This window comes from Homo sapiens, chromosome 6 (assembly GCF_000001405.40).
Source record: "Homo sapiens chromosome 6, GRCh38.p14 Primary Assembly".
Lineage (NCBI taxonomy): Eukaryota > Metazoa > Chordata > Mammalia > Primates > Hominidae > Homo > Homo sapiens.
The window spans coordinates 20,481,537-20,509,524 of record NC_000006.12 but is presented as its reverse complement, the minus strand read 5'-3'; the positions used below and the strand labels follow the sequence as shown (position 1 = coordinate 20,509,524).

Below are 27,988 nucleotides of genomic sequence, written 5' to 3'. Positions count from 1 at the left end.
TGATTCCCTAGTGGCTGGCAAATTATCTGACACACCGGATACATTAGTTAGAATCTTCTGGTTGCAAGTAGTAGAAACAAACTCAAGCCCAATTAAGCAATGAAGGATTTATGGTAATGAGAATTCCAGAGCCAGAGTGCAGCTGGCTTCAGGAAGCCCAGGAACCCATTGCTCTCTCTTCTCTCATCTGTTTCTCTCAATGCCTGAGCTCCCTTCTTCTCTAATTGCCAGGCGTTTCTCTGCTATTCAATTCACTTGGAAGATAGCTGAGCAGCCCTCCTGATGGCTACATCTCCTTCATTTGAGATAGACACTAATATCTCTTAACCCCAATTCCAATCTCTGGGGAGGGTACTGGGTTCAGTCAGTTGAGTCTAGGAAGGGAGGGTTGTGTAATAACAGGGCTCGCCTGTGACTGTGTAGAGTATTTTTTTGGTTTTTAATGTTTTTTGGGGGGACAAGATCTTACTCTGTCGCCTAGGCTGGAGTGCAGTGGTGTCCTCATAGCTCACTGTATCCTCAAACTCCTGGGCCCGAGGGCTCCTCCTGCCTCAGCCTCCCAAGTTGCTGGGATTACAGGTGCACACCACCATGCCAGGCTAATTAAAAAACAACTTTTTTTAGAGATGGGGTCTTGCTATATGTTGCCCAGGCTGGTCTCAAACTCCTGGCCTCAAGCAATCTTCCAGCCTTGGCCTCCCAAAGCACTGGGATTATAGGCATGAGCCACTGTGCCCTGGCCTCACCCTGTGGTTTGATAGTGGAGGAAGAACAGACACTGAGAAGGTTTCTACTGCATAGATGCTGTATTAGTCAGGGTTCTCCAGACAACAAAGCCCATAGTATACGTGTGTGTGTTTGTGTGTGTGTGTGTGGTGTGTGTGTGTGTGAGAGAGAGAGAGAGAGAGAGAGATTGAGAGATTGAGATTATAGAGGCTGGTAAATGCAAATATTTAGGTTGGGCTGGCAGACTGGAGACCCAGGGGAGAGTGGATATTGCAGTTCAAGTCCAAAGGCTGTCTGCTGGCAGAATCCGCTCCTGTTCCAAGGTCAGTCTTTTGTTCTACTTGCCTTCATCTGATCATGTGAGACCCACTCACATCAGGGAGGGAAGTCTGCTTTACTCAAAATCCGCTGATGTAAATGTTAATCTCAACGAAAAACACCCTCATTGAAACATCCAGATACTCAAACATTTGTGGAATTGAACTACTTTTGTTGCCTACTACATTTAAACAGTGTTGCTCTGTGAAGAACCTCAGATAAATTGTGATCTCAGAATCTCAGAACCAAGAATAGTTAGGCCTTCTTCTGAGCCTTGGTTTGTTTTATCCCATAAACTCTGAATCATGTAATATATCATATTTCTCTCTTTTGGTTCTAGAGAGGTTGGACTTTAATTAGTGTTTCTTTTCTAGCAAATGTGCAGTACCTTACAGATGCATTTTATACACTAACCTCATTCCTGTGTACATATTACCTTCAAAACAATTCTCATTTTTCATTTCTTAATTGCCTCACTAATTTGTTTTTAAGTTTATTTAACAGGACTTTATGGGAAGAGTGTGAGTTAATAAAGAAAGCGCTTGTCAAAATTCTTGATCTCCTTTTCCTTGAGCCAAGACCAATGTCTTTCATTTTTAATGATTCTAAAATGAGCAGTTTGTAGTCTTTCAAAAGTCCTCATATGACACGATTCCCACAGCCCTTCCATTTCAGTAGTCCTGTTTACGGGTTTAAAAGAAGCCCAGCATGTATCATCAATCTCTTACCATTCGAAGCATAATGAAAGTCAAGTGCTCAATGCTGCAAAACATTGAGCTGTTAAACACCTCCAGACATTTTTTTTTACCAGCTTAAATTGCTCTTCTTTTACCATCTTAAAACATATGCTCTTTTCCTCAGATCTTCAAAAATGTTGACTTCTAAAAGTGGGCCTTTGTTCTGGGGTGGTAGAGCTGAAAATCGAGGCAAAAATAAGAGAAGAGCTGAGAGCAAAAACAGAGCCAAGAGAAGAGGGTCTTTGAGATGACATCTGAATCTGTTCAATAAACATGGCTGGCATAGCTGGGCGCGGTGGCTCAGGCCTGTAATCCTAGCACTTTGGGAGGCCGAGGTGGGTGGATCACCTGAGGTCAGGAGTTCGAGACCAGCATGGCCAACATGGCGAAACCCCATCTCTACTAAAAATACAAAAATTAGCTAGGCGTGGTGGCACATGCCTGTAATCCTAGCTACTTGGGAGGCTGAGGCAGGAGAATCAGTTGAGCCCGGGAGTGGAGTTTGCAGTGAGCCAAGATCATACCACTGTACTCCAGCCTGGGTGACAAGAGCAAAACTCTGTCTTAACATAATAATAATAATAATAATAATAATAATAATAATAATAGCTCTATATAATTAAGTGTAGGAGATTACATTGCAACCACTATATTTTTGGTAAATGCAGCAATAGGATATTCACTATGAGTTGAGGTTTTCCATGTTGTCCATTTGGTGTCCCTGAAGCAGTCCTTGAGTGCAGCAGCTTTACAAAGTACATGCCAAAAAGGAGGAGGCCAGAGCATCATCTCCATTTTTACTTCTGTTATCATGTTACTCCCTTGCCCTGATTTAAAAAAAAAAAGTAGTCCTGGCCAGGTGTGGTGGCTCATGCCCGTAATCCCAGTACTTTGGGAGGCTGAGGCAGGTGGATCACTTGAGGTCAGGAGTTTGAGACCAGGCTGACCAACATGGCAAAACCCCATCTCTACTAAAAATACAAAAATTAGCCAGTTGTGGTGGCTCAGCCCTGTAGTCTCAGCTACTCGGGATGCTGAGGCAGGAGAATTGCTTGAACCTGGGAGGCGGAGGCTGCAGTGAGCCTAGATCGTACCTCTGCACTCCAGCTTGGGCAGCAGAGTGAGACTGTCTCAAAAAAAGAAAAAAAAATAGTAGTCCTAAACAGAAGTTTCTAAACATGATACAGAATTTCATTAAAAGGTTAGCACTGTGTATTTCAGATATAACAAATAGTCACCTGAAGAAATATGAGAGGGAAAAAATTGGTAATTTCAGCATGAAATGAATACTTTTGTAATTATTCCTGAAGGAGTGAAATAATTAAAAGATGAAAATAGTATATGGATTACGTGACATCTTCCCCCAAAGGACAAAAAATGGGGAAAACTAGCAGAGGTCTCAAGAAGACCCTAAGCTGAGCCGAGAGGCTATTTTGAGAAAATACTTGATGAGAGTATTACTTTATTGCCTCTGCTCTTCCATGAGCTGCATGCTGTGAAAGCCAGAGCTGAAATAATAAAGTCTAAGATGTCAAATACTAACACTGGGGGGGCAAGAGGGCATTTAGGCTTGCAGGGGAGCAGGGGAGGTAAAGGTATTGGTGCTGGGCAGGTGTGTCCAAATGAACCTGAGAGAGTAACAAAGTGAGGGAAAGCAAAGAAGATATGAAATACATAGTGAAATTTGAAGGTGAGACAGAGGCAAGAAGAAGAATGGCTCAGGAAGGCCTTTCTAACACCAGTTTTTTTCCCTACTATTTTCATAAAGTTATCAAGAAAGGGGCAGGGCACATAGCACAGTCTCAGTAGCATCTCTTGCTTCTCAGCTCCTCCTGCTCTTACTAGCCTCCCCTGTTGGAACCTATCTATAAGCCAGCCATGCCTGGGGCTTTTGAAGAGAAGGTAACTGAAAACAGCTGGACAAAGGGCCTGGAGGAAAAGCAGTTTTTATCAAGGGCAATTCTTGATGCCACCTGCACATAAGGACTAAGCAAAGTGCTCAATAGTCCTGGTGAAATAAAACTCTATCTTTTTCTGTCTCCTTGCTTCTCTTCTAGGTTTTAATTTAATTCTTGGTTTTAAAAAGAACTTTAAAGTTTTGCCTTTCTCTTAATTCAACTCAATTTTCTATATTTATCTCCTTTTTTCTTTTCTTTTCTTTTTTTTTTCTTTTTTTTTGAGATGGAGACTTGCTCTGTTGCCCAGGCTGGGGTGCAATGGTGTGATCTCAGCTCACCGCAATCTCTGCCTCCCGGATTCAAGCGATTCTCCTTCTTCAGCCTCCTGAGTAGCTGGGATTATAGGTGTATGCCACCATGTCTGGCTAAGTTTTGTAATTTTAGTAGAGATGATGTTTCACTGTGTTGGCCAGGCTGGTTTTGAACTCCTGAACTCAAGTGAGCTTCCTGCCTCAGCTGCCCAAGTGCTGGGATTAGCAGCCACTGCGGCTGGCTAATTTTTGTATTTTTAGTAGAGACAGGCTTTCACCATATTGGCCAGGCTGTTCTCGAACTCCTGACCTCCAGTGATCCACCCGCCTCAGCCTCCCAAAGTGTTGGGATTACAGGTGTGAGCCACTGTGCCCGGCTAATTTTTGTATTTTTAGTAGAGATGGAGTTTCACCATTTTGGTCAGGCTGGTCTCAAACTCCTGACATCCAGTGATCCGCCCGCCTTGGTCTCCCAAAGTGTTGGGATTACAGGAGTGAGCCACTGCACCCAGCCTATTTTTATCTCCTTTTATCAGAACACTTTATTGCAGTGCACAGCAATACAAAGAGATTAACTCAATCCATAGTGTGTTATTCTTCTATAACTAATTTAGATCTCCACCATAATTAGATTAGCTCTACATTGTGTAGTCAAACATCACATTTGGCCCTCTAAAGGCTAGTTGGTTGTTAAAGAACTTGTCAATCACCTACCTTTATCCTTCTGAAATTTTGGGATCCAACCTTTAAAAAATTATTTTTAATTTTGTAATAATTTCACATACAAAAACTGTATATGTAACAAATGTAAATTGTGATGCTTAGTAATAAAATGAATACCTGTGAATTCACTGCCTAATTTAAGAACAAGGCAACAATACCATTGTGTCAAACTATTTCCAACTTATCAACTTTTTTTCATAGCTAGTTCTTTTGGTAATGTATCTCAGAAGTTATCAGCAAACTGAAGGTCATCTAGATTTTCTTCTATGTTATCTTCTAGAAGTTTTATAGATTTGCATTTTATGTTTAGGCCTATGATCCGAAAAATGTAGAGACTGTGTCTAGATTTATTTTGTTTCATGTGGATATCTAGTTATTCCAGCACCATTCATTGAAAAAGTGATCCTTTCTCCATTGAATTGTGTTTGCTCCCTTATCAAAGATCAGTTGACTATACATTTGTGGGTCTAGTCCACAGATGCATCTGTCTATTCTTTCACCAGTGTCAGGTTGTTTCAATCACTGTAGCATTAGAATAAGTCTTCAAGTGTCAGTCCTCTAACTTTGTTCTTCTATTTCAATATTTGTGTTAGCTATTCTGGGTCTTCTGTCTTTCTACATAAATTTTAGAAAGAGCATGTTGATACACAAAAAATAGCTTGCTGGAATTTTTATTGGGATTGAGTTGAATCTAGAGATCAACTTGAGGAAAGCTGACATCTTCAAAATATTAAATCTTTCTATCCATGAACATGGACTATCTCTCCATTTATCCAGATCTTGGATTTCTTTCATGAGAGGTTTATAGTTTTACTCATGTAGAGCTTGTACATATTTTGCTAGGTTTATACCTAAGTATTTCTCTTTTTTTTTTTTTTTTGAGACAGAGTCTCGCTCTGTTGCCCAGGCTGGAGTGCAGTGGCGCAATCTCGGCTCACTGCAACCTCTGCTTCCTGGGTTCAAGCTATTCTCCTGCCTCAGCCTCCCCGGTAGCCGGGATTACAGGTGTACACTACCACACCCAGCTAATTTTTGTACTTTTAGTAGAGACGGGGTTTCACTATGTTGGCCAGGCTGGTCTCGAACTCCTGACCTCAAGTGATCTGCCTGCCTCAGCCTCCCAAAGTGCTGGGATTACAGGCATGAGCCACCAGGCCTGGCCCTCTTTTTTGATGGTAATGTAAATAGTGTTGTGTTTTAAATTTCAAATTTCAATTGTTAATTTTTGGTATATAGAAATACAATTGATGTTGTGTATTAACCTTGTATCCTGCGTCATTGCTATAATCACTTAAATTATAGGAGGCTTTTTGTTGATTATTTGGAATTTTCTGTTTTTTCTTTTTTCTTTTTTTTGAGACAGAGTCTGCCTGTGTAGCCCAGGCTGGAGTGCAGTGGCGCAAGCTCCGCCTCCCAGGTTCACACCATTCTCCTGCCTCAGCCTCCCCAGTAGCTGGGATTACAGGTGCCCACTATCACGCCTGGCTAATTTTTTTTGTATTTTTAGTAGAGATGGGGTTTCACCATGTTAGCCAGGATGGTCTTGATCTCCTGACCTCGTGATCCACCCGCCTCAGCCTCCCAAAGTGCTGGGATTACAGGTGTAAGCCACTGTGCCCGGCCAATTATTTGGAATTTTCTACATAGATAGTCATATCAATCTGCAAACACAGTTTTATTTCTTCCTTCCCAATCAATATACATTTTATTTACTTTCTTGTCTTATTGCATTAGTTAGAACTTCCAGTATGTTGTTGAATAAAATGGGTGAGAGGGAGTATCCTTGTCGTGTTCCCAGTTTTAAAGGGAAAGCATCCAGTTTTTCACCATTAAGTCTAATGTTAGCTATCGGGTTTCTGTAGATGTTCTTTATTAAGTTGAGGAAGTTCCTTTCTATTTCTAGTTTGTGAAAGTTTTTATCATGGATGAGGGTTAGATTGTATGAAATGTTCTTTCTGCATCTATTGATAGGATTATACTATTTTCCTTCTTTGGCCTATTGATATGATGAATCACATTAATTGGTTTTTGAGTGTTGAACCAGCCTTGCATAACTGGACTAAATTCCACTCGGTCATGGTGTCTATTCTTTTTATAGATTATTGCATTTTATTAGCTAATATTTTGTTGAGGATGTTGGCATCTATATTCACAAAAGATATTTGTCTATAGTTTTCCATTCTTATAGTTTCTTTGTCTGATTTTGATGTTAGGATAATGCTGGCTTCATAGAATAAATTGGAAAGTTTTCACTCTGCTTTATTTTCTGGAAAATATTACAGACAATTGGTATAACTTCTCCCTTAAATGTTTGGCAGAATTTTACAGTCAATCCATTTGTGATGGTGTGCTTTCCATTTTGGGTGATTACCAACAAATGATTCAGTATCTTTAATAGGTACAGGCTTATGCACATAATCTATTTCTCCTTGTATAAGTCTGGTTGATTGCGTTATCAAGAAATTGCTCCATTTCATCTAGGTTACTAAATTTGTGGCCATTGAGTTGTTAATAATATGCCTTTATTATGTTTTTAATGTCCATGAGATCTGTAGTGATGCCCACTCTTTCATTTCTGTTGGCAATTTTTCTTTTCTCCCCCTTTTTTAGTAACCTGGCAAGGAGTTTATTAATTTTATTGGTCTTTTCGATAAACCAGCTTTTGGCTTTATTGATTTTCTCTATTGAGTTCCTGTTTCGAATTTCATTGATTTCTGTTCTAATTTTCATTATTTTCTTCTGCTTACTTTTGATTTAATTTGCTGTTTTTCTAGTCTCCTAAGGTGGAAGCTTAGATGATTGATTTTTAGATCTTTTTTCTTTTCTAATATATGCATACAATGCTCTAAGCAATGCTTCCACTGCATCCCACAAATGTTGGCAAGTTGTATTTTCATTTTCATTTAGTTCAAAACATTTTTAAATTTCTCTTGAGACTTCTCTGATCCATGTGTTATTTGGAAGTGTGTTTTGGGAGTTTTCCAGGTATCTTTCTGTCACTGATTTCTAGTTTACTTCTATTGTGGCCTAAGAACATACTTCGTTTGACTTCTATTCTTTCAAATTTGTTAAGGTGTGTTTTGTGATTCAGAAAGTGATTTGTCTTGTGAATGTTCTATGTTAGTTTGAGAAGAATGTGTATTCATCTGTTGCATGAAGTATTCTATAGATGTCAATTAGACTTAGTTGATTGATTCAGTTCAACTATGTCCTTGCTGATTTTCTGCTTAATGGGCCTGTTAATACTTTTTTTCTTTCTTTTTTTTTTTTTTAGACAGAGTTTCACTCTGTCACCCAGGCTGGAGTGCAGTGGCATGATCTCGGCTCACTGCAACCTCCACCTCCTGGGTTCAAGCTATTCTCCTGCCTCAGCCTCCCAAGTAGCTGGGACCACAGGCGTGCACCACCATGCCAGGCTAATTTTTTGTATTTTTAATAGAGATGGGATTTCACCATGTTGACCAGGCTGGTCTTGAACTCCTGACCTCAAGGGATCCACCCGCCTCTGCCTCCCAAAGTGCTGGGGTGACGGGCGTGAGCCACCACGCCCGGCCAGGTCTGTTAATGACTATTTGAGGTGTGTTAAAGTCTTCAATTATAATAGTGGATTTGTCTGTTTCTCCTTATAGTTCTATAAATTTTTGCCTCCTGTATTTTGACACTATGTTTTTATTTTTATTTTTGAGACGGAGTCTCACTCTGTCGCCCAGGCTGGAGTGCAGTGGCACGAACTCTGCTCACTGCAAGCTCCGCCTCCTAGGTTCACGCCATTCTCCTGCCTCAGCCTCCCAAGTAGCTGGGACTACAGGCGCCCGCCACCACGCCTGGCTAATTTTTTTCTTTATTTTTAGCAGAGACAGGGTTGCATCACGTTAGCCAGGATGGTCTCGATCTCCTGACCTCGTGATCCGCCCGCCTCGGTCTCCCAAAGTGCTGGGATTACAGCGTGAACCACCACGCCCCGCCTCTTGACACTGTGTTTTTAGGTGCATACACACTAAGGATTGTTACGTCTTCTTGGAGAATTGACCCCTTTATCATTATGTAATGCCCATCGTTATCCCTGATAATTTTACTTACTCTGTAGTACGCTTTGTCTGAAATTAATACAGATCCTTCAGCTTTCTTTTGATTAGTGTTCACATAGTATAGCTTTCTCCATCCCCTTACATTTTAAAAAAATTTTATTGTGGTAAGAACACTTAACATGAGGTCTACCCTCTTAACAAATTTAGAAGTGTACAACACCATGTTGTGAATGATAGGCACGGTGTTGTATGGCAGAACTTAGTAATCTTGTATAACTGAAACTTTAGACCTGTTGACTAGCTACTTCCCATTTCTCCCTTCCCTAGCTCCTGGAAACCACTACTCTACTCTCTCCCTGGGTTCTATGTGTTTCATTGTTTTAGACACTCATGTAAATAGAATTACACAGTACTTGTCTTTCTGTGACTGGCTTATTTCACTTAGAATTACGTCCCCAAGGTTCATCTATGTTTTCACATAGGGCAGGATTTTAAAAAAAATCTTTTTTAAGGCTAGTCAAGTGAACCACTGGGAGGGGAAAAGGAACAAAGAAATCTGTAACTGGTTGTGACCAGTTAGTTGGAAATATCACTGCACTTGGACCAGCTTAGATTTCCTTCCTTTTTTAAGGTGAATAATATTTCATTGTATGCATGCCTATAATCCCAGCACTTTAGGAGGCCGAGGTAGGAGGATCAGTTGAGGACAGGAGTACAAGACCAGCCTGGCCAACATGGTGAAACCCTGTCTCTACTAAAAATACAAAAAATAGCCAGGTGTGGTGGCGCATGCCTGTAGTCCCAGTTACTTGGGAGGCTGAGGCAGGAGAATCGCTTGAACCCGGGAGGTGGAGGTTGAAGTGAGGCAAGATCTCTAACTTATGTTTTCGGTTGAATCTAGATGTTCTGTAACAGGGGGTTTCTTGGTTATCCCCTTCTTTTCTTCTTTTTTTTTCTTTGTTTTTAATGGTTCATTCTGAACCCTGGCTATCTAATCTGCCATACTGATGGAAGCAAAAGTCCCATCCAATTATATTTTCTGTACTTACAACTATGTTTGTTCCCTACTTGCTGGATTTTCTCCTTCCCAGAACCAGATGTGGGAATTGCTTCTACACTTTGTACCTTCCCCTGTCCTTTGTTATACTTTTATGCTTACTCTGTTCTATAGCACTCACTCTATTCCCTTAAACGATACCCCACCTCTCAGTCAATGGTGATGATAGTTCCTTTTCGACTAAAGGAACACTCATTCTTTGGTTTCTTGCCAAGGACAGAATTTAGTTTGTGTCTCTTTTTAAACATCTTGGGTCTCCTTCTGCTTCCTCCCATTTCTGAACACACACACACACACACACACACACACACACACACACACTCTTCTTCCTACCCATTTAAACATGTTCTCTTTGTTGGCATGTTTAAATTTTTATTCACTGACATCACTATTTCAGCTCTCTCTCCTATGGAATTGCAATACTCTTTTTTGTTCCTTGGGATTCCAGGGTATGGCTCAGAGCTAAATTCTTTTCTTCCTCCATTTACAGCACTGCCCACACACTGTTCCATCATTTGCAGATTGATTAGTTACTTCTGCAGCTGTTGCCATCAGTTACAAATGGCTTTAGACGAAGAGATAGGCATATGAAAATACTTTGCAAATTGTAAAGCCATCTACAATGCTAAGGGCTATTCAGGCATAAGATATACACTATAATTTAGGCTTCAGCAGAGGCAAATGCCCCTGACTTTGATTGTGTAGAAAAAAATGCTTCTTAAAGGCTTCTGAAGCTGAAAAGTGGTCTATACAGAAAGAGAAGTCTTTCAGGAGGAAGTAGAGCACCCAGTTTAGAAGTTGCTGTCAATTTGATTCTTCCTACATTTGAATAAGCAAATCCATTTTAATCCACTACTAAAGACAAAAGAAACACTGAGAAGTCTTCCAAACTTATGTTTCTTAGTTGTTTCCATCTCTCCCAATTTGCTGTTGTGCCATAGGCTAAGAGTGTAATGACCGCCATACACCCATGAAGCATGGTTTGGAAGAGTAGAAGGAATTACAGGGCTGGTAGAGAATATAAACAGGGATCTCCCAGAAGTTCATGTTAATTCAAAATAATTAATTAATCATGACAGCCAACCTACGGTTCCAGGGATAAGAGTGGGAAGAGGCAGGTTTCCAATGTGCATATCTATGTAGAGAACTAAGAGACCTTATAGACACAGCAGAAAGAACACTGGACTAAGAATCTGAAGACTGTTGTTGACAAAAGAAAAATGGATCACAGAATTGTCCCTTGATGAAACCAGCTCCTTTCTGGCTGTGAGGTGGCCTTCCAACTCAGACACTGTGATTCTCTGATCAGGACCAGTTGACATGGTTTTGTCTGAGTTGAAAAGCCAGCTCTTGGTTAATGTTTTTGGTTGGTTGGCTTATCTCAATTCCCTGGGTTTTAATATCTGTGTCTCTGTATTTATGTGAAGTCAACCACTGTAGTTGATGTAGGGCAGCCTGTCTTTCACCAAGGCACTAACTCTATTCTGTGATATGAGAAACGCCGAAGTCCTGAAACAGCATGATAGAAGCAAGGCTGGAGTTTCCAATGTTGCTTCTGAGGCAAGTCCCTGATTATATGCAACTTTGTCCCTTCTCTCTTTTCCACAGCACTTGCCAAGCACTTCAGCATCAGGAACTCCAGAACTTTTTGATAGTGCTCTTCACACACAAAAAGCATAAGAGTAATGCCTGGTGTTCTAAACATTTCAGAATACATTTAATAAATTCTGTTTATCTCTCAGTCTTCAAGTCCCAGATTTAGGGGCACAATGAGAAAGACTTGCCGTTTGTATTCTATGGAACACTGTAACTTCCTGCTATGAGTGTCACTTCCTTAATGTTTGATTGACTCCAGGCTGATGAAGTCTATGTAGTCAGTGCAGAAATTCTTCTTAATATCCCGGTGTATGACCTACAATTTAATTTTGACATTTTCTTTCATATCATGGTTATAGATTAGATCTAGATTGGGGCTCCCCAGTTCCTTGATCCTAGAAAGGGAATCCATTGGTTTATTTTGAGTCATGCCTACTTGGAGAGTCATCTCCAAGCACTCTTGCATTCAGATGCACAGGCTTGGGCTGGGAATAGCTCCAAACCACCCTAGATCAGGACCTCTGTGGCTTTGTAGAGCTTTCCAGTGGCAAGGCTACATCTGCCTTCCATTTCCATTCCTGCCTCTAACCATCTGTCCTTCCAATTCTTCCAAAAATGGCTTCAGTCAGAAAAATAGCTCATTTGACATCCGGCCTTCCGGTTTGCTTCTCCTAGCTAAAACTCGTTTCTCCCTGAACACTAGACTGCAAACTTCCTCTTCCTGACAGGACCTAGGCCTTTTTAAATGTGGACTCCAGCGCCTAGAACAGTTCCTGGCATCCAGCAATCACTTTATATTCATTCAAAGGGTGACTGACCCTGTTTCCCTTAATGGTTACTGAATCACTGAATACAATTCACTTTTCTGTATTGTTTTATATTCTGTCTCGCAATATTACTACGACTGATCTGATTTCTTCTTCTCTCCCTCCCTTCAGTCCTCCCTCCCTCCTTCCCTCCCCTCCCTTCCTCCCTTCCTTGGGATCTCCCTACTGAAACTGATTTATAAATTTTCCCCAGAGTGAAACCCATTTCTAAAACAGTACTTTGGGTAAGGTTCTAAATTATAAAATATTCAAACATCCTAGTTCTGTATCAACTTTTTTTAATTTTTTTTTTTTGAGACAGATTCTTGTTCTGTCACCAGACTGGAGTGCAGTGGTGTGATCTCGGATCACTGCAACCTCCGCCTCCTGGGTTCAAGCGATTCTCCTGCCTCAGCCTCCTGAGTGGCTAGGACTACAGGCGCGCGCCACCACACCCAGCTAATTTTTGTATTTTTAGTGGAGACAGGGTTTCAGCATGTTGGCCAGGATGGTCTCGATCTCTTGACCTTGTGATTCGCCCGCCTCGGCCTCCCAAAGTGCTAGGATTACAGGCGTGAGCCACTGTGCCTGGCCTTTCTTTTTTTGGTTTTTGAGACAGAGTCTTGCTCTGTTGCCCAGGCTGGAGTGAAATGGCGCGATCTTGGCTCATTGCAACCTCCGCCTCCTGGGTTCAAGCAATCATCCTGCCTCAGTCTCCCAAGTGGCTGGCATTATAGGCGCCTGCCACCACACCCGGCTAATTTTATTTTTATTTTTTTATTTTTAGTAGAGACGGGGTTTCGCCATGTTTGCCAGGCTGGTCTCCTGACCTCAGGTGATCCACCTGCCTCGGCCTCCCATATGCTGGGATTAAAGATGCGAGCCACCACACCCAGCCTATATCAACTTTTATGAGGTTAATGCAAATTCATCTTGTCTACATTACCTGAGGTCAGCAGTTCGAGACCAGCCCAGCCAACATGGCAAAACCCCGTCTCTACTAAAAATACAAAATTAGCCAGATGCAATGGCGGGTGCCTGTGGTCCCAGCTACTCAGGAGGCTGAGGCAGGAGAATCACTTGAACCTGGGAGGAGGAGGTTGCAGTGAGCCGAGATCACGCCACTGCACTCCCATCTGGGCGACAGAGACTCCATCTCAAAAAAAAAAAAAAAAAAAAAGAAGTTAAACACAAAAAGCCACATGTTGCATGATTCAATTTATAGGAAACATAGAGAACAGGTGAATCCATAGGGGCAAAAAAGCAGAAAACAGGGACTGCAAGGTGTCGGGGATAGGGAGTAACTAATTTATGGACACAGGTTTCCTTTTGGAGTGATGAAAATGTCTTCTGGAACTAGACAGAAGTGATGGTTATACAGCACTGTGAATGTTATCAAATGTTACTAATGATAAATTTTGTTACGAGAATTATACCACATCAAATATATAGTACCTGACATACAAGCATTCTAAAAACTTTACATTTTTTTAATAGCAAAATGAGCAAAACTATCTCTCAAACAGGAAATCACCTAAGTATATTATTAAATACATTTTTAGGCCAGGCGTGATGGCTCACCCCTGTAATCCCAGCACTTTCGGAGGCCGAGGAGGGTGAATCACTTGAGGTCAGGAGCTCAAGACCAACTTGGCCAAGATAGTGAAACCCCGTCTCTACTAAAAATACAAAAATTAGCTGGGCATGGTGGCAGGCACCTGTAATCCCAGCTACTTGGGAGGCTGAGGCATGAGAATTGCCTGAACCTGGGAGGCAGAGGCTGCAGTGAGCCAAGATCACTCCACTCCACTCCAGCCTGGGCAGCAGAGTGAGACTCATCTCAAAAAAAAAAAAAAATTTTTTTTTTAAATCACTGGAATGGTATGCAGCCTTTGAAGAGCATGAACACGATCTACAAGTACTCACATGGAAAAATGTGACATAGCAATAAAAAGCTTCAGATCAGCATATATGGTATGACTTATGTTAAGTCATGTTAAAACACACATGCTTACTGTAATCCCAGTACTTTTGGGGGCTGATGGGGGAGGATTGCTTAAGGACAGGAGTTTGAGGCCAGCCTGGGCAACATTACAAGACCCCATCTCCACAAAAATAATAAAAAAAAAAATAGCCAGGCTTGGTGGTGCACGCCTACTATTCCCACCTACTCAGGAGACTGAGGCGGGAAGGACCACCAGAGCCCAGGAGTCTGAGGCTGCAGTGAGCCATGATGGTGCCACTGTACTCAAGCCTGGGCAACAGAGTGAGATCCTGTCTCTAAACAAAAACAAAAACAAAAAACAAAAAACAAAACAAAATAGGTCGGGCTTGGTGGCTCACCCCTATAATCCCACCACTTTGGGAGGCCAAGGCGGGTGGATCACCTGAGGTCCAGAGTTCGAGACCAGCCTGGCCAACATGGTGAAACTCCGTCTCTACTAAAAATACAAAATTAGCTGGGCGTGGTGGTGCATGCCTGTAATCCCAGCTACTCGGGAGGCTGAGGCAAGAGAATCACTTGAACCCAGGAGGCGGAGGTTGCAGTGAGCTGAGATTGCACCACTGCACTGCAGCCTGGGCGACAGAGCAAGGCTCTGTCTCATACAAATAAATAAATACAAACAAAATAAAATAAAATACACATGTTCATGCACAGATATGTGCCTAGAAAATGACTGGAAGGATAATACAAGAAAAATGCGAACAGTGGTTATCTCTGGCATGAATAGCATAGAGGGGCAGGTAACGTCCCCCCCTGCCCTTTTTTTTTAAACTTCATACCCTTTTATATTGATTTTGTGTGTGTACAATATATAGCACTTTGAGGTTTTTCAATGATAAGTTCAGAGTTAACAGTGTGACATGGCAGTCAAAAAATTCAAATCTGCTCCTAGATGGCATTACTAGAAATACACAATCTAGAACATGGGAGGTAATTACCAGATTTCAGAATTAAAATGTATTGGCTTTATAACCCTTACGAGGAGTCAAATTTGTCACTTTCTCAGTGTAACAATTACTCAGTGTCCGAGTGGTTTCTGCACATGGTCAAAGGGACAAGGTAAGTTCTACTTCACAGGGTGCAGAGCACACCGGAAGTGGTCACCAAATATTTGCTGAGTGTTCTGAGTCCCAAATACCGTCTAAGGCAAACGATGTTTTAAGCTTTTGTTTAGCCTTTCTCCTTAACTTGTTTAAGAATGTTTTAAAAAATTCAATTAATAGGCTGGGCGCGGTGGCTCATGCCTGTAATCCCAGCACTTTGGGAGGCCGAGGCAGGCGGATCACTTGAGGTCAGGAGTTCGAGACCAGCCTGGCCAACATGGTGAAACTCCGTCTCTACTCAAAATACAAAAATTAGCCAGTCGTGGTGGCGGGTGTCTGTAGTCCCAGCTACTCAGGAGGCTGAGGCAGGTGAATCACTTGATCCCGGGAGGTGGAGGTTGCAGTGAACCAAGATTGTGCCACTGCACTCCAGCCTGGGTGAGAGTGATTGACTCTGCCTCAAAAAACAAAACAAAAAAAAAAAAAAGAAAAAGAAAATGAAAAAAATTCAATTAATAGAGGAGCACAAGATAATATTAAAGAAAACCCATCCACAAGCCTGAACTCTTAAAAAAAATCATTTTATTGATCCTTTACCATACAAAATTTATTCAAATTACACCCATTTGAAGTGGTAAGATCACAGCTAGAGAACAGGTCACCCTGTAACAAATCTATTTACAAAATCCATCATAAAAGCTTTTTTTTGTTTTTTTTTACATTATATTACATATTTTCTTTTTTAAACTAGCATACAACACAAAGCTAAACTGATTAGTAGTTTGCCTACTCCCAATTTTGGGAGAAATACTTCCTTTTTACAAAATCACGTACCCCGTAGGAAAAGAAATTCCCACACCCTGACAATTGCCACCCGACTTACTCTGCAAGCCATCTTCCTTCATATCCCTCCTTCTCATACACACGAGTTGTCATGCACACACTGAATTCTTATTTTCTTTTTCCTGAAAGCTTAAGCTTTAAATACTGCAATTTTATTTACAGATCTACACGTACAACAAAAATGAAAACAAGAGCCACAACAAAGAACAGAAAAACAAAAACAAAATAACACTCTTAAAAAATTACAAAGCAGCTAGAAAGTATTCTGGCAGTGTTTACAAATTAATTGCTATTTTTGTACAAAATTGCTAAATAATGAAAATGTGAGTAGACTACATATCAACTTAAATAAAACGATTGCTATGCACAACTCTGTACATATAAACACACTCCTAACACTGTTTGACAGCTCATGTGTTGCCCTTTATACATTTTATTTTCTAAGGCTCACGCAGTCATAATTTGCACACTTGTAACTTTTAGCCATTTCGTGTGTGAGCTTTAATAGCAGCAACTCAATGGTACCAGGAAACCTGCATACTTAGTACTTAAAGTAACGCAAATACTGTAGTACTAACCCACTTTGTGTGCCGGATACTAAGTCAAAAAGAAAATTACTTAATGCAAACAAAATACAGTATGGACATCTAATTAATGTACACCAGTTAAACCCAGTAACTGGAAAAAAATCTTATGCATGAAGGAACTTTTAAGACTTATTAGTATTCCTTTCATTTTAAAAACAATAAATACGGCATTACATTATGAAAAAATTCAACAAAACACACAACAATCTAGCCAGGTGAGCTCAGTCTTTAGACTTTGGAAAAAATCAGCTTTGTGCAGCTGGCAAAGAGAATTACACAAAGCTGGAAGCAGAGGCAGCTAACCAGATGAGATAAATATGGGAAATGGGGAAAAGCTTGGCATAAATGGTTTCCCATACAGGAAAAAACCCCACAGTGCATTTCCAGTAGGCACTTAACACAAAGCTCCCTCTCCCTCCCCCACCCCAATGCTTCATCTAGGACCACACCGACATTTTGTACCAAGTCCAGTGTGTGTGAGGGGAGGAGGCCAGGGATGGAGGCTGAAGAAGAAAAAAAGGAAGATAGTCTGCACCTTTGTTTTTCTTCCCAAACATACACCCACGCATACCCACACAAAGAGTTTAAAGTGCTGGTGTCATCTGTCTTGACCCCACCACCACTTTGCATATTGTGGAAATCTACCTGGAGTAAACTGGCTGGGGCTCTTGTGGTTTTTTGTGTGTTTTTTTTTTTTCCTAAGGGATATTTTCAATTCAATTAAACATATGAGTTGAGTGCCTACTATGTGCCTACCATTGGGTCAGGCACATAGCATTTCAATTTAACTGTTCGTTTCGAGGTTTGTTCTTTATCTGACTCCCTCATTCCCGCAGTCCTTAGCATCCAAGGAATGGACCGGAGATACTACGCCATATTCCCAGTGGGAGATGGCCGCTGCCACCTGCCCGAGGGAAAGCCATTCTTGGACATAACTGGTAGGATTTGCAGCTGACACAAAGCCTCCAACTTGGGACACCATTCCTGAAGAGTAAAGCGGGAGACACCCTGGCATTGTTTTGCTTCATTTTTTACGTCCCCGACTTCCCTTGGTCCAACTTATTCCTTCATAGAGGAAGGGGAACGGGGTCTGGCCAGAACTATTCCAGCCCCCGACACAGGGCTGCTCCCTGTTCCTGCCAGCTTAAGGAAATGCCACTCACACAATGGGGATGTCTTTCTCCCTAGAGGTCTCTCCATCTGACCCCATCCTGAGAAGTGGTCTCCCTGAGTGCGGTGTAAGAGAGCCCTTTCCCCTGTCACAGGGGCCCGGGAAGCCCAAGGATGGAGGGACCCATGCCTGCTGCTCCTTGGGGCTGTTACATCATCTGACCTGGTTCTCCTTTCCAATGGGCCACCCATGTCAGCAAGCCCCAGGACTGACTCGCTCCAAGCTCCCCCTCCTGGGAATGGAAGCACGATGGGACAAAGCTCCTTGCAGAGGCTGATAAACCTTAGATCACACAGGTTTAGATGCTCTGATCAGTAGAGGTTCTCTCCCTCTGCTTAAGTAATATGAATTTGCAAAAACCGCTTCAAAGTAAACAATTAAATTGAAATGGTGATGGGTGCCACAGGAATGCTTAAATGGCAGCTAAAAAAATTAAAAGTCTAGAACAATCCACAAAGAACTAAGTAGGCATTTGCTACAAATCAACTGGAAACTCACAAACACATTGGGGACGGGGGAATGGGAGTGGTTCATGGAGACAGGAAAATCCACAACAGCTTAGAGTGGCAGAACTCTACTAGTCTTCTGTATCTGCAACAAGTATATTTGAAAACAGGTTCTTCATCCAGAAGGCTGTGGAGGTTTTCTTGACCTCCTACTGGGACACACAGTTCATAGCTTAAACTGAATTATGACAGTAATTTAAATATTCCTAAGAAGAGCTGAAGAAATCCATTTCATACTTTTGCATGACTTCAAGTTTGCATTTGCTGCAGTTCCATTCCATATTAGCAGACCTCAAAGACATGCATTCTGCGGAGAAGGCACGGCTTGAAATGCTATTAAGGAAGATTGCTGTTTCCCAGCAGGCCAGGTGGCCAGACCCCATTCTACAGCCCATCCGTCAGGCACAGCAAGCCAATCCGGGGAGGAAGGAGGAAGGACAATTCGGGGTGAGAGACACCTGATTGCACATTTTCTCACTTGCTGACTTAGCCAGGAGATCTTGGAGCCTGGAGCAAAGCAGGGCTTTCCCAAGGGAGCCTGCAACTGTGCGTTTAGACAATTTGTTTATTAATTTTTTAAAAAATTCATTAAAATGTCAGCTTTCTTCTGAAGTTTGTAGTTTACTTCATGATACTCTCTTGGAGGAAGAAGGTAGGAAGGGACAACACTGCATGACAGATGTTCTGGTTCCATGATAAAAAAATATCGGTTTTTAAGGAGAGTTCACACGAAGCATAATCAACTACACATGAAGTCTTCCACCAGTGGGAGCTTTTCCAAATCGTAAGCATCGAAGAGATCGCTGATGCCTTCCTCCTCCCCGAGGCTCAGGAGATAGTCCTCTTGCAGCAGGGGAGGCAGTAAGTTCACAAACGGTCCTTCTAGGTTGGAAGGAATTTGGTCCTCAGTCTGCTGTAAGAGGTTGGCTGGGGAGGCCAGAGGAGAAAGGTTTCCCATAGAAACTGAGCAATCGCTATGTCCTGAGTTGGTTGAAGCCAAGTCTGAAAAGAAAACATTGATGGAAACAAAAAATAAGTTAGAAAAATCAAATGAATTTTTCTGGAAGAATGTATATGTTGCTGTTAGAAAAAAGCATGTACCTTCCGCAAATAATGACAATGAGACGACTTTATGATGCAGATCACCTTTTATGCTAACAGGTACAAAAAAGTTCCTTGCCACCCCCGTCCCCCTTTTAATTTTTGAGACAGGGTCTTATTCTCTTGGCTGGAGTGCAGTGGTGTGATCATGACTCACTGCAGTCTTGAACTTCTGGGTTCAAGGGACCCTCCCACCTCAGCCTCCCAAGTAGCTGGGACTCCAGGTGTGAGCCACCATGCCTGGTTAATCTTTTTTTGTAGAGACAGGGTTTTGCCATGTTGCCCAGTCTGGTCTCGAACTCCTGGGCTCAAGTGATCTGTCTTCCTTGGCCTCCCAAAGTGCTGAAATTACAGGTGTGAGCCACCATGCCTGGCCATCTTTCTTTGGCCCTAGTCTACTCACTCATTTTTCAAATAACTACTGTCAATAAACAAGAATGCAAATAACTTCAATGATGAGAGGATAACAAGTTCAAAAACTTCTCTCTGCTATCTAGTCATTGTTTTAAGAAAATCAAAACAAAACAATATATACATACTGAAAAGTTGGCTTCCTAGTAGAAACTCACCAACTGAAAAAAGAACTTTTTTTTTTAAGAGACGGCGTCTTGCTATGTTGTCTACGCTGGAGTGTAGTGGCTATTCACAGGCAAGCATAGCTCACTCTAACCTCGAACTCCTGGGCTCAAGCGATCCTGCCACCCCAGCCTCCCTATAGCTGGGACTACATGCAGAATTCACTGATTTTAACTCAGTCTTTTTTGAACAACCAGCTTATTAAAAAGATCTCTAAAAATACATACAATAAGACAGATCCACTTTGGATTTCTGTGGTGAAGAAAGATGGCCTTTTGTTTTACCATTTCAGGTGATGTACTTTTGCTCAGTATTAAATCAGACTTATTCACTTAAATCACCCTTATTCTTGCTGCTATATAGGGAGACACTAAGGGAAACAATTGCATATATATCTCCTCAAGTTAGGAAATGGAAAAATATATACTGCAAAGAGCTTCCTTTGCTCTTTGCAGAGCGGGAAGGAGAAGTTAGATTTCTTTTCTTTTCTTTTCTTTTTTTGAGATGGAGTCTCACTCTGTCACCAGGCTGGAGTGCAGTGGCGGATCTCGGCTCACTGCAACCTCCGACTCCCTGGTTCAAGTGATTCTCCTGCCTCAGCCTCCCGAGTAGCAGGGATTACAGGCACGTGCCACCACGCACAGCTAATTTTTGTATTTTTAGTAGAGACAGGGTTTCACTGTGTTGGCCAGGACAGTCTCGATCTCCTGACCTCGTGATCTGCCTGCCTCGGCCTCCCAAAGTGCTGGGATTACAGGTGTGAGCCACCGCACCCGGCAAGACTTACTTTCCTAGCGTTCTCCTCCCATATCCTCTCCCCATCTCATTGGGGGGGAAAATAAGACAAAAATTCTCCAACAAAGGCTTTTCTCCTCAAACCTTTTTCATTTCCCTCTCTGATGAGCTCTGCAGTGTGATTCAAAGGTGTGTGGCCAAGTGTCTCTGATGATCCAACAAGACAGTTCACAGCTTTGCTCCTCACTTTAGCTGGTTTTCAAAAATGCTGTAAGGAAACATTCTCTGCCAATAGCAAAAGCCTGAAGCGACTCCATAAGTGGGTGAAGGAGCCGTTTTTCCCAAATCATTATTTTCTTCTGCAAACCAGTCAGAATGTCTTTTAAAACATGTTACCTAATACCAATAGAAGTTTGTGTTTCTTGCCTAGGCTTGTGGTTCCAATACAGATGGTTCTAGTCACCCTCATTTTTAACATAGTTTCTAAAAGACAAAAGTGGAGTTTTTACCTTTGGAAGCGGGTTTAGGGATATTCCCATTGTGGTCTTGGTTGTTTGTTTTCATTGGACTGTGTGTTTCAGTCTCTTCTGGACATAAGTAAACCTCAATGGGCCCTTGGGTACTTGCCAAATGTATTTGTAGGCTCTATGAACAGAAGTGGGAGAAGTTCGAATCAGAAGTTCTTTTAGAAATAAAAGCCATAGTAATTCTTGTCTAAAAATGGAAAGTAAGAACAATGTTCGTTTTTCACTTGCTTTTTCCCTACTAGTCCAACTCTATGAAAGACTGTCATCCTCTAGAGCAGGGGTCAGCAAACCACAGCCTAAGGGCCAAATCCAGTTCACCAAGTGGCTTTGTAAATAAAGTTTTATTGGAAGAGAGTCACATCCATTCCCATTGTTTATTATTGCCTCTGGCTGTTTTCGTATCACAATGTCAGAGGTGCACAGTTGAATAGTCTAGACACAGGCTGTACGGCTCGCAAAGCCAAAAATATTTACTATCTACCTGGCACTTCAATGAAAAAGTTTGCTGAGTCCTGCCCTAGAGAAAGAAAACTATTTTAGTGGGGCTTGGGGGAGAGGGGAGTCATTCTGAAAATAGCACAATGGGTGAGGTGAATTGTGTTCTTTGGATATATTCTTTTTCTGCAAATTATTACAAGGTCCTTTAAGTGTTCCAAATTCAGTATCTCCATGTTATTGTTCCTTTATGGTAGGACTTTTTCATGTTGAACTGTATACTGATGAATAGTATTCTTAAGTGCTAGGAACTGCATCTATTAAGAGAATGCAGCATACCAACATTTAAAAATCTTTTTCATCTAGGTCAAAGAGCTATTATTATCTTTTAAGGTAAGAAGTCTACCCTAGATGGAAGCGTGTAACTTTCATTCTCTTTTTATCTCCTATGCATTTTCTTTTTACTACAACTCTTTATGTTATAGTTGTAGTCTAGGCCTCTATTATCCAAGTATATCTGAAAATTACAAAAATATGCCCCCTACTTTCTTGCAATATTCTAGTCTATCAGCTAACCCAAAGCCCCATGTGATCTCTCAAAATGTTATAAGTTAGGGAGAGACTTTAAAACATTTATATATCTGTTCGTGGTGGGGACCATATACAGGATAATCAATATAAACTTTCCAAAGTGATTCAAATTGATCAAAACCGTTGATGACAAATTATGAAAAAGAGAAAGTATGAGAGGGACAGCGCATCATATACCACTTTGAACTGAACATCCTGCTAGGTCAAAGTTAGGTTGTTTGAATACTCAATGAACATCAAACCATTGAAATGTTTTCAAATGTATGGTTAAGTAAAATAAATGGGAAAGAACCATCAAGTTCATAGGAGGGGGACAGACTTTAACTATGAGTCAATGAGTCATTCAATTTCAGGCATTCCACAAAGATCTTTGCAGATGAACAAAGACGCTGTCTCCTTACCTCTATTGAGTCAGGCACTTCAAGTCTTGTTTCTGGAGGGGCTTTCACAACTATAACAGTTTGGTCTTTAAGGCCACTAATTTTTCGAATATCTTGATATGTAACATAAGCTAACGTAAAGAGTGTCAAGGAATCTTCCATCTAATTACCTCAGATATAAGTATGATGAAAATGACAAAATAGATGCATGGAATATTTTAAAGTATTTTATGACTTAGAAGTATGCATATGTGGCCGGGCGCGGTGGCTCACACCTGTAATCCCAGCACTTTGGGAGGCCGAGGCGGGTGGATCATGAGGTCAGGAGATGGAGACCAACCTGGCTAACACGGTGAAACCCCGTCTCTACTAAAAATACAAAAAGTTAGCCAGGCGTGGTGGCGGGCGCCTGTAGTCCCAGCTACTCGGGAGGCTGAGGCCGGAGAATGGCATGAACCCGGGAGGTGGAGCTTGCAGTGAGACGAGATCGCGCCACTGCACTCCAGCCTGGGCGACAGAGCGAGACTCCTTCTCAAAAAAGTATGTGTATGTCTCCCCTTCTGGATGTGCAAATGTTTAGGGTCTCCCATGAATCTTCATTTCTGGTTGACACTCTAAACAACTAAAGAAATGAATAGCTTTATCCCGCCCATTTCTAAAAAGACTATGGCTATTTAAAATATTAAACATAGAAACAGAACAGTTAAAATAAATGATCATAAGAAAATAAAAAACTAAGTGGTCAGAAATTTTATCTTGAAGCCAGGGTCCTTTGCAGCACAGGCATTCCATGAACTCCAATAAAGTGTTCTGTCACTCAAACTGAATGATGGCAGATTCCAATTTGCAGGAAAAAAAAATGTAATCTCTATTAGCCATAATTTTTTTGAAACTCCAGTTACTTCTATCTACAAGCAAGTGTCAGCAGCCACCAAGTAAATAAATAAGTAACAAATACATTAGTGGAGGAACTCAGAATACTGCTCAGGCAGACAGCTTGTTTTCTTAAGTGCACCTGGGCTGGTTGTGATTATGTACTGCCTACAGAAAAGAGTGTCATTATTTCTGTTAGAAAAATTATGCTTTGCGTGATACTATATTAACTCTATCAATATTTCAGTGTTCATGAGGAAGAAAGCAGTTTCCAGGTGCTCTGCGACTTGAATGAATTTGAGAAACACTGATTTAGGAAAAGAGAAAAGTATAATATCTCAGTACTCTTGGTAGTTATTTCCTTTTTCTTTTTGAGACAGAATCTTGCTCTGTCACCCAGGCTGGAGTTCAGTGGCCCAATCTCAGCTCACTGCAACCTCCGTCTCTGGGGTTAAATGATTCTCGTGCCTCAGCCTCCCAAACAGATGGGACTACAGGCGTGCACCACCACACCCGGCTAATTTTTTTTATTTTTAGTAGAGATGGGGTTTTACCCTGTTGCCCAGGCTGGTCTTGAACTCCTGGACTCAAGTGATCTGCCTGCCTCCGGCCTCCCAAAGTGCTGGGATTACAGGTGTGAGCCACGGCGCCCGGCCTTGGTCATTTTTTCTAAGCACTGAACCATTCTTTTAAATGTCCTGACAGCCAAGCCTAAAAGGCTATCATGAAAGAATATGGTACTTACGATATGACAAAAGTATTCAATTAATGTACAATGTCTTTAGCCCGTTATTATTTTTTATATGTACCCACAAAAAATTCCTAGGATAAAACAGCAAGTAACAAACCAATGAAGGCATTTCAGCAGGTAGTATAACGTATTTAATGGCTAATAGAGTCCGTGATCTAATATGTTTAATATAAAAAAAAGGGGGGGCTTAGAGACCCTAGAATAAATCATGTCCCTTACGATAGTAGCTTCTTTTTTTTTTTTTTTTTGAGACGGACTCCCACTCTGTCACTAAGGCTGGAGTGCAGTGGCACGATTTCAGCTCACTGCCACCTCTGTCTCCCAGGTTCAAGTGATTCTCCTGCCTCAGCCTCCCGAGTAGCTGGGATTACAGGCATGAGCCACCGTGCCTGGCTGTAGTAGCTTCTTATTAGAAACTGAATGCAGCTATGGAACTACTACTCCAGAAAGAAAGCACATTCACACGAAATCTGCATACACATGTAGGGGATCTATCACAGACTATCTCCTTCAAATCTTTACAGTTGAGATGATGGCTAATTCAGTGTTGAGCTTGTAGTGGCTGCTCTTGCAGGATTCTGGGTTTTAGGTCACTACATAACCCATCAAAGAAGTCAACGGATGCCTTTATAGAGGGCCAGGCAGTTCTGATTTTTTACTGAGAACACTGGAAAAAACTGACAACCAGGTACTTACACTACAGCTCACTGTCAAAAAGCTGTATGACAAGAACTTATTAAAATAAAAACTCATCACTTCTTGGCCTTTTGGCTAAGATCAAGTGTAAAAGAAAAACTCATCTACGATTACTCAACATGCTGCAGGAAGGAAAATTTCAACACATTTGTGAACAAGCTGTACCAATTTGGGAACTGAATGGTGAACTGAAATAAATTGTGCAAATGTATTTTCTAATCTTACAAACTTAAAAGTGCTTCCTTTGTGGCTCCCTCCTGAATTTACTCCTTGGGTTCGAAGTTCCCTGCAAGGAAGCTTTCATTTTCTGCAACAAAGGCCCCAGAGAGAGCTAATATAGGTGACAATGCCATAAGCCACATGTCCCGGAAGGCTGCCAATCACATGTAACCACCCATCTCTTCCACAATGGGGCTCCCAACCAAACAATGAATGAAACAGCCCAACTGTTGGTTTCTTCCCCTGTAAACCCACTCTGCCAACCACTGGGGGTCCAAATCACTACGCCTCTCTTCCATCTCACTAATTATCGGCTGACAAGGTTAATTCTTTGGTCAACAGGAAATGAACAATTGCAGGTTTGAAAAACTGCCAACATTGGAAGAAAATAAATATCTCCATATTCTCCAAGGGGGAGCCTGTTAAAGATGAGACACTAGAAGAATCTGGGCAGAACACTTTTTAGTTTTTGTCAAATAATGGTAAATGTGCAATCATCAGAAGTTTGGAACTAAAACTAGAGATGGGATAACTTACAGTACTGTTTTTTGTCTTCTAATAACTGAGAATATTGGCAAGTCTTGTTTGACATAATGAGGCAATCTCTCTCTTACTTTGTCTGTAGTGAGATGATGAAGAGCAAGTTTTCCTGAGATCGTCAATAGATTGTCAGGAAGTTGAGAACAAGAACTGACCTTTTGTATTTTTATTTGCGAGGACTAATGTTTGTAGTGGAACAGAGGAATTGAGAGGGGTTTCTCAGGTCTTGGGGTGCTTTTGAAATCAGTTTTTTCATTGGGAATCAGCAGAATGCACTTTAAGAGTTATAGTATGATTTTTCTCTACTCTTTCAAACCCTTCAACTATAGCCCAATCAGATAGATTCAACCAATTTCAATTGCTACGATATCTGGTGAGAAGAAAATAGAATGTGAGAACCCCAACAGTGACAGCTAACACCCACCAAAAATCTGGGAAGCCAAAGACGAATCTGCTTAGTGTTGTCATTAATATTAATACCGACACCTTATGTATCTTTTAATAGTGTGGCCTTACGCTACGAGTATACCCATGTCTCAACCACACATGAAAAAATGCTTTAAAAAACAGTTCCCACCTGGTATCAAAATAGATAATAATAGGATCGAGTTGGTGACTATCTTACCATAAATACTGACTTTTTAGGCAAAGCTAACTGGGTTTACACACACACGTGCACACACACACACATACACACACAGGCACACAGGTACTCATTTGCATGACATCAGAATAATAATCTACCTTGTGCATAAGTCAGATTGTCAACTCTGGAAATAGTCTAGGAAGCACTAACCCCCAGAGAACTGGCGGCACAAAGGATATCTTTGATTCTCTGAATCCTCGGTTAACAGTTTGAGGTCCAGGGTGCAGCTTTGGATCAGTTCATCTAATTTCTTCTCTTCCTGACTGAGCTCGGTCACTTCTTTTGACAGGCCTTGACACTGGGCCAGCATGCCCCCATCCTCAGACAGACTGCAGCCCCTAGAAACCCAAACACAGACTCTTCATGGCTACTCATGGGAGGGAGGGGAAGGAGAAATGATCCTTTGGGTAAATGTCTCCTCTTGACATAGGAGGTCACATTGCTTGTTAGCCAAGTGTTAAAATTAGAACATTTACACATATATATATATATATATATATTTTTTTTTTCATAAATACAGTTCTGCACTTTTCACAGCATAGAAATTTAGTGAAAGCGCACTGCTATTTTCAGGATTCTTTCCTCCAGGGGAGGTCTACTTCTTCAGAAGGTTCAAATTCAGAGGGCAAAAGAAGGCAACCACCTTCCTCCCTTGCCTCATGGCTCCCAGGTGGTGGGGGAAGAAAGGCGAAAAAGGATAAAAAGATAGAGAAAGACAGAGAAGATGGAATGGTTCAAAATTAAAAAAAAAAAAAAACAAAAAAACAACCCATCCAAAAAAGCATCAAAAACTCAGGTAATTACTGAGGGTCTTATATCAACAACTAAAAAGAAAAGAAAGTAAAGGAAACAGATGTATGTGATGTATGCAAGAACTGAGACTAGTGCACAATATGTTTCTCTAAACCAGAGGCCAAAACGGGTTACCAAACTGTCAACAAAATTCCAAAATGTGCAAAAAAAGGTATGTATTCATCTTCCATCTGAATTAGTATCTTTTCAAAGCCCTCCTGTAACAGAATTATTCCTTCCAAAATGCTTTAATAATTCAATACTGTGCTTATAGTGGCTATTTAGATGCTCTAAAATTCACAAAATATATTACATATGTAATCATACGTGTGGCTGTATAAGTATCATGCTACCATCCCTGCTCTACAGACGAAATGGAGGCATTTAAGTCTTGCCTTAATTTACCCAGAAAGTGAGTTAATCTGCTATTAGAACCATGGATAAAGATATTCTGTAACTATGCAGTTGTACGTATACACATAGATAACCCATAAGCCATCATTTCCAGATTCTTATTAGAAACAAGCTGAAGACGTGTACACATCTGTCAGATACACACGTGGGTGCACACAGACATCTATGTAACAGATGAACAGCAGTCCACTTTCCAACTGCAGGGACCTCTTTAAGGATGCCGTTGCTGGATGCTCATCAAATATAAATCCTTTTATCTCTGACAGTATCTAAACAAAGTCTCTTTGTAAAGAGACTTCAAACTTCTGGCTTAGAAGCTGAGGAGGGAAGAGAGAATGAGAGAGAAGAAAACAGTAG

At 41.3% G+C, this 27,988-nt stretch overlaps 1 protein-coding gene across 9 annotated transcripts in view; it reads right to left on the bottom strand.

Moving 5' to 3' along the window:
- E2F3 (E2F transcription factor 3) overlaps positions 15,811-27,988 on the bottom strand; it is a 91,836-nt gene continuing 79,658 nt past the window's right edge. For 7 of the 9 annotated variants that reach the window (NM_001949.5, XM_011514324.4, XM_005248865.6 and 4 more), the window contains exons 4-7: positions 26,605-26,763; positions 22,722-22,836; positions 21,277-21,412; positions 15,811-19,357 (exon numbers count right to left, since the gene is read on the bottom strand). In NM_001949.5, coding sequence (NP_001940.1) covers positions 19,095-19,357; positions 21,277-21,412; positions 22,722-22,836; positions 26,605-26,763 — 673 coding nt within the window. In that variant the 3' untranslated portion in view covers positions 15,811-19,094. Of the gene's footprint in view, positions 19,358-21,276; positions 21,413-22,721; positions 22,837-26,575; positions 26,764-27,988 lie in introns of those variants that run through there. The other 2 variants (XM_047418265.1, XM_047418266.1) reach the window with 2 other exon arrangements.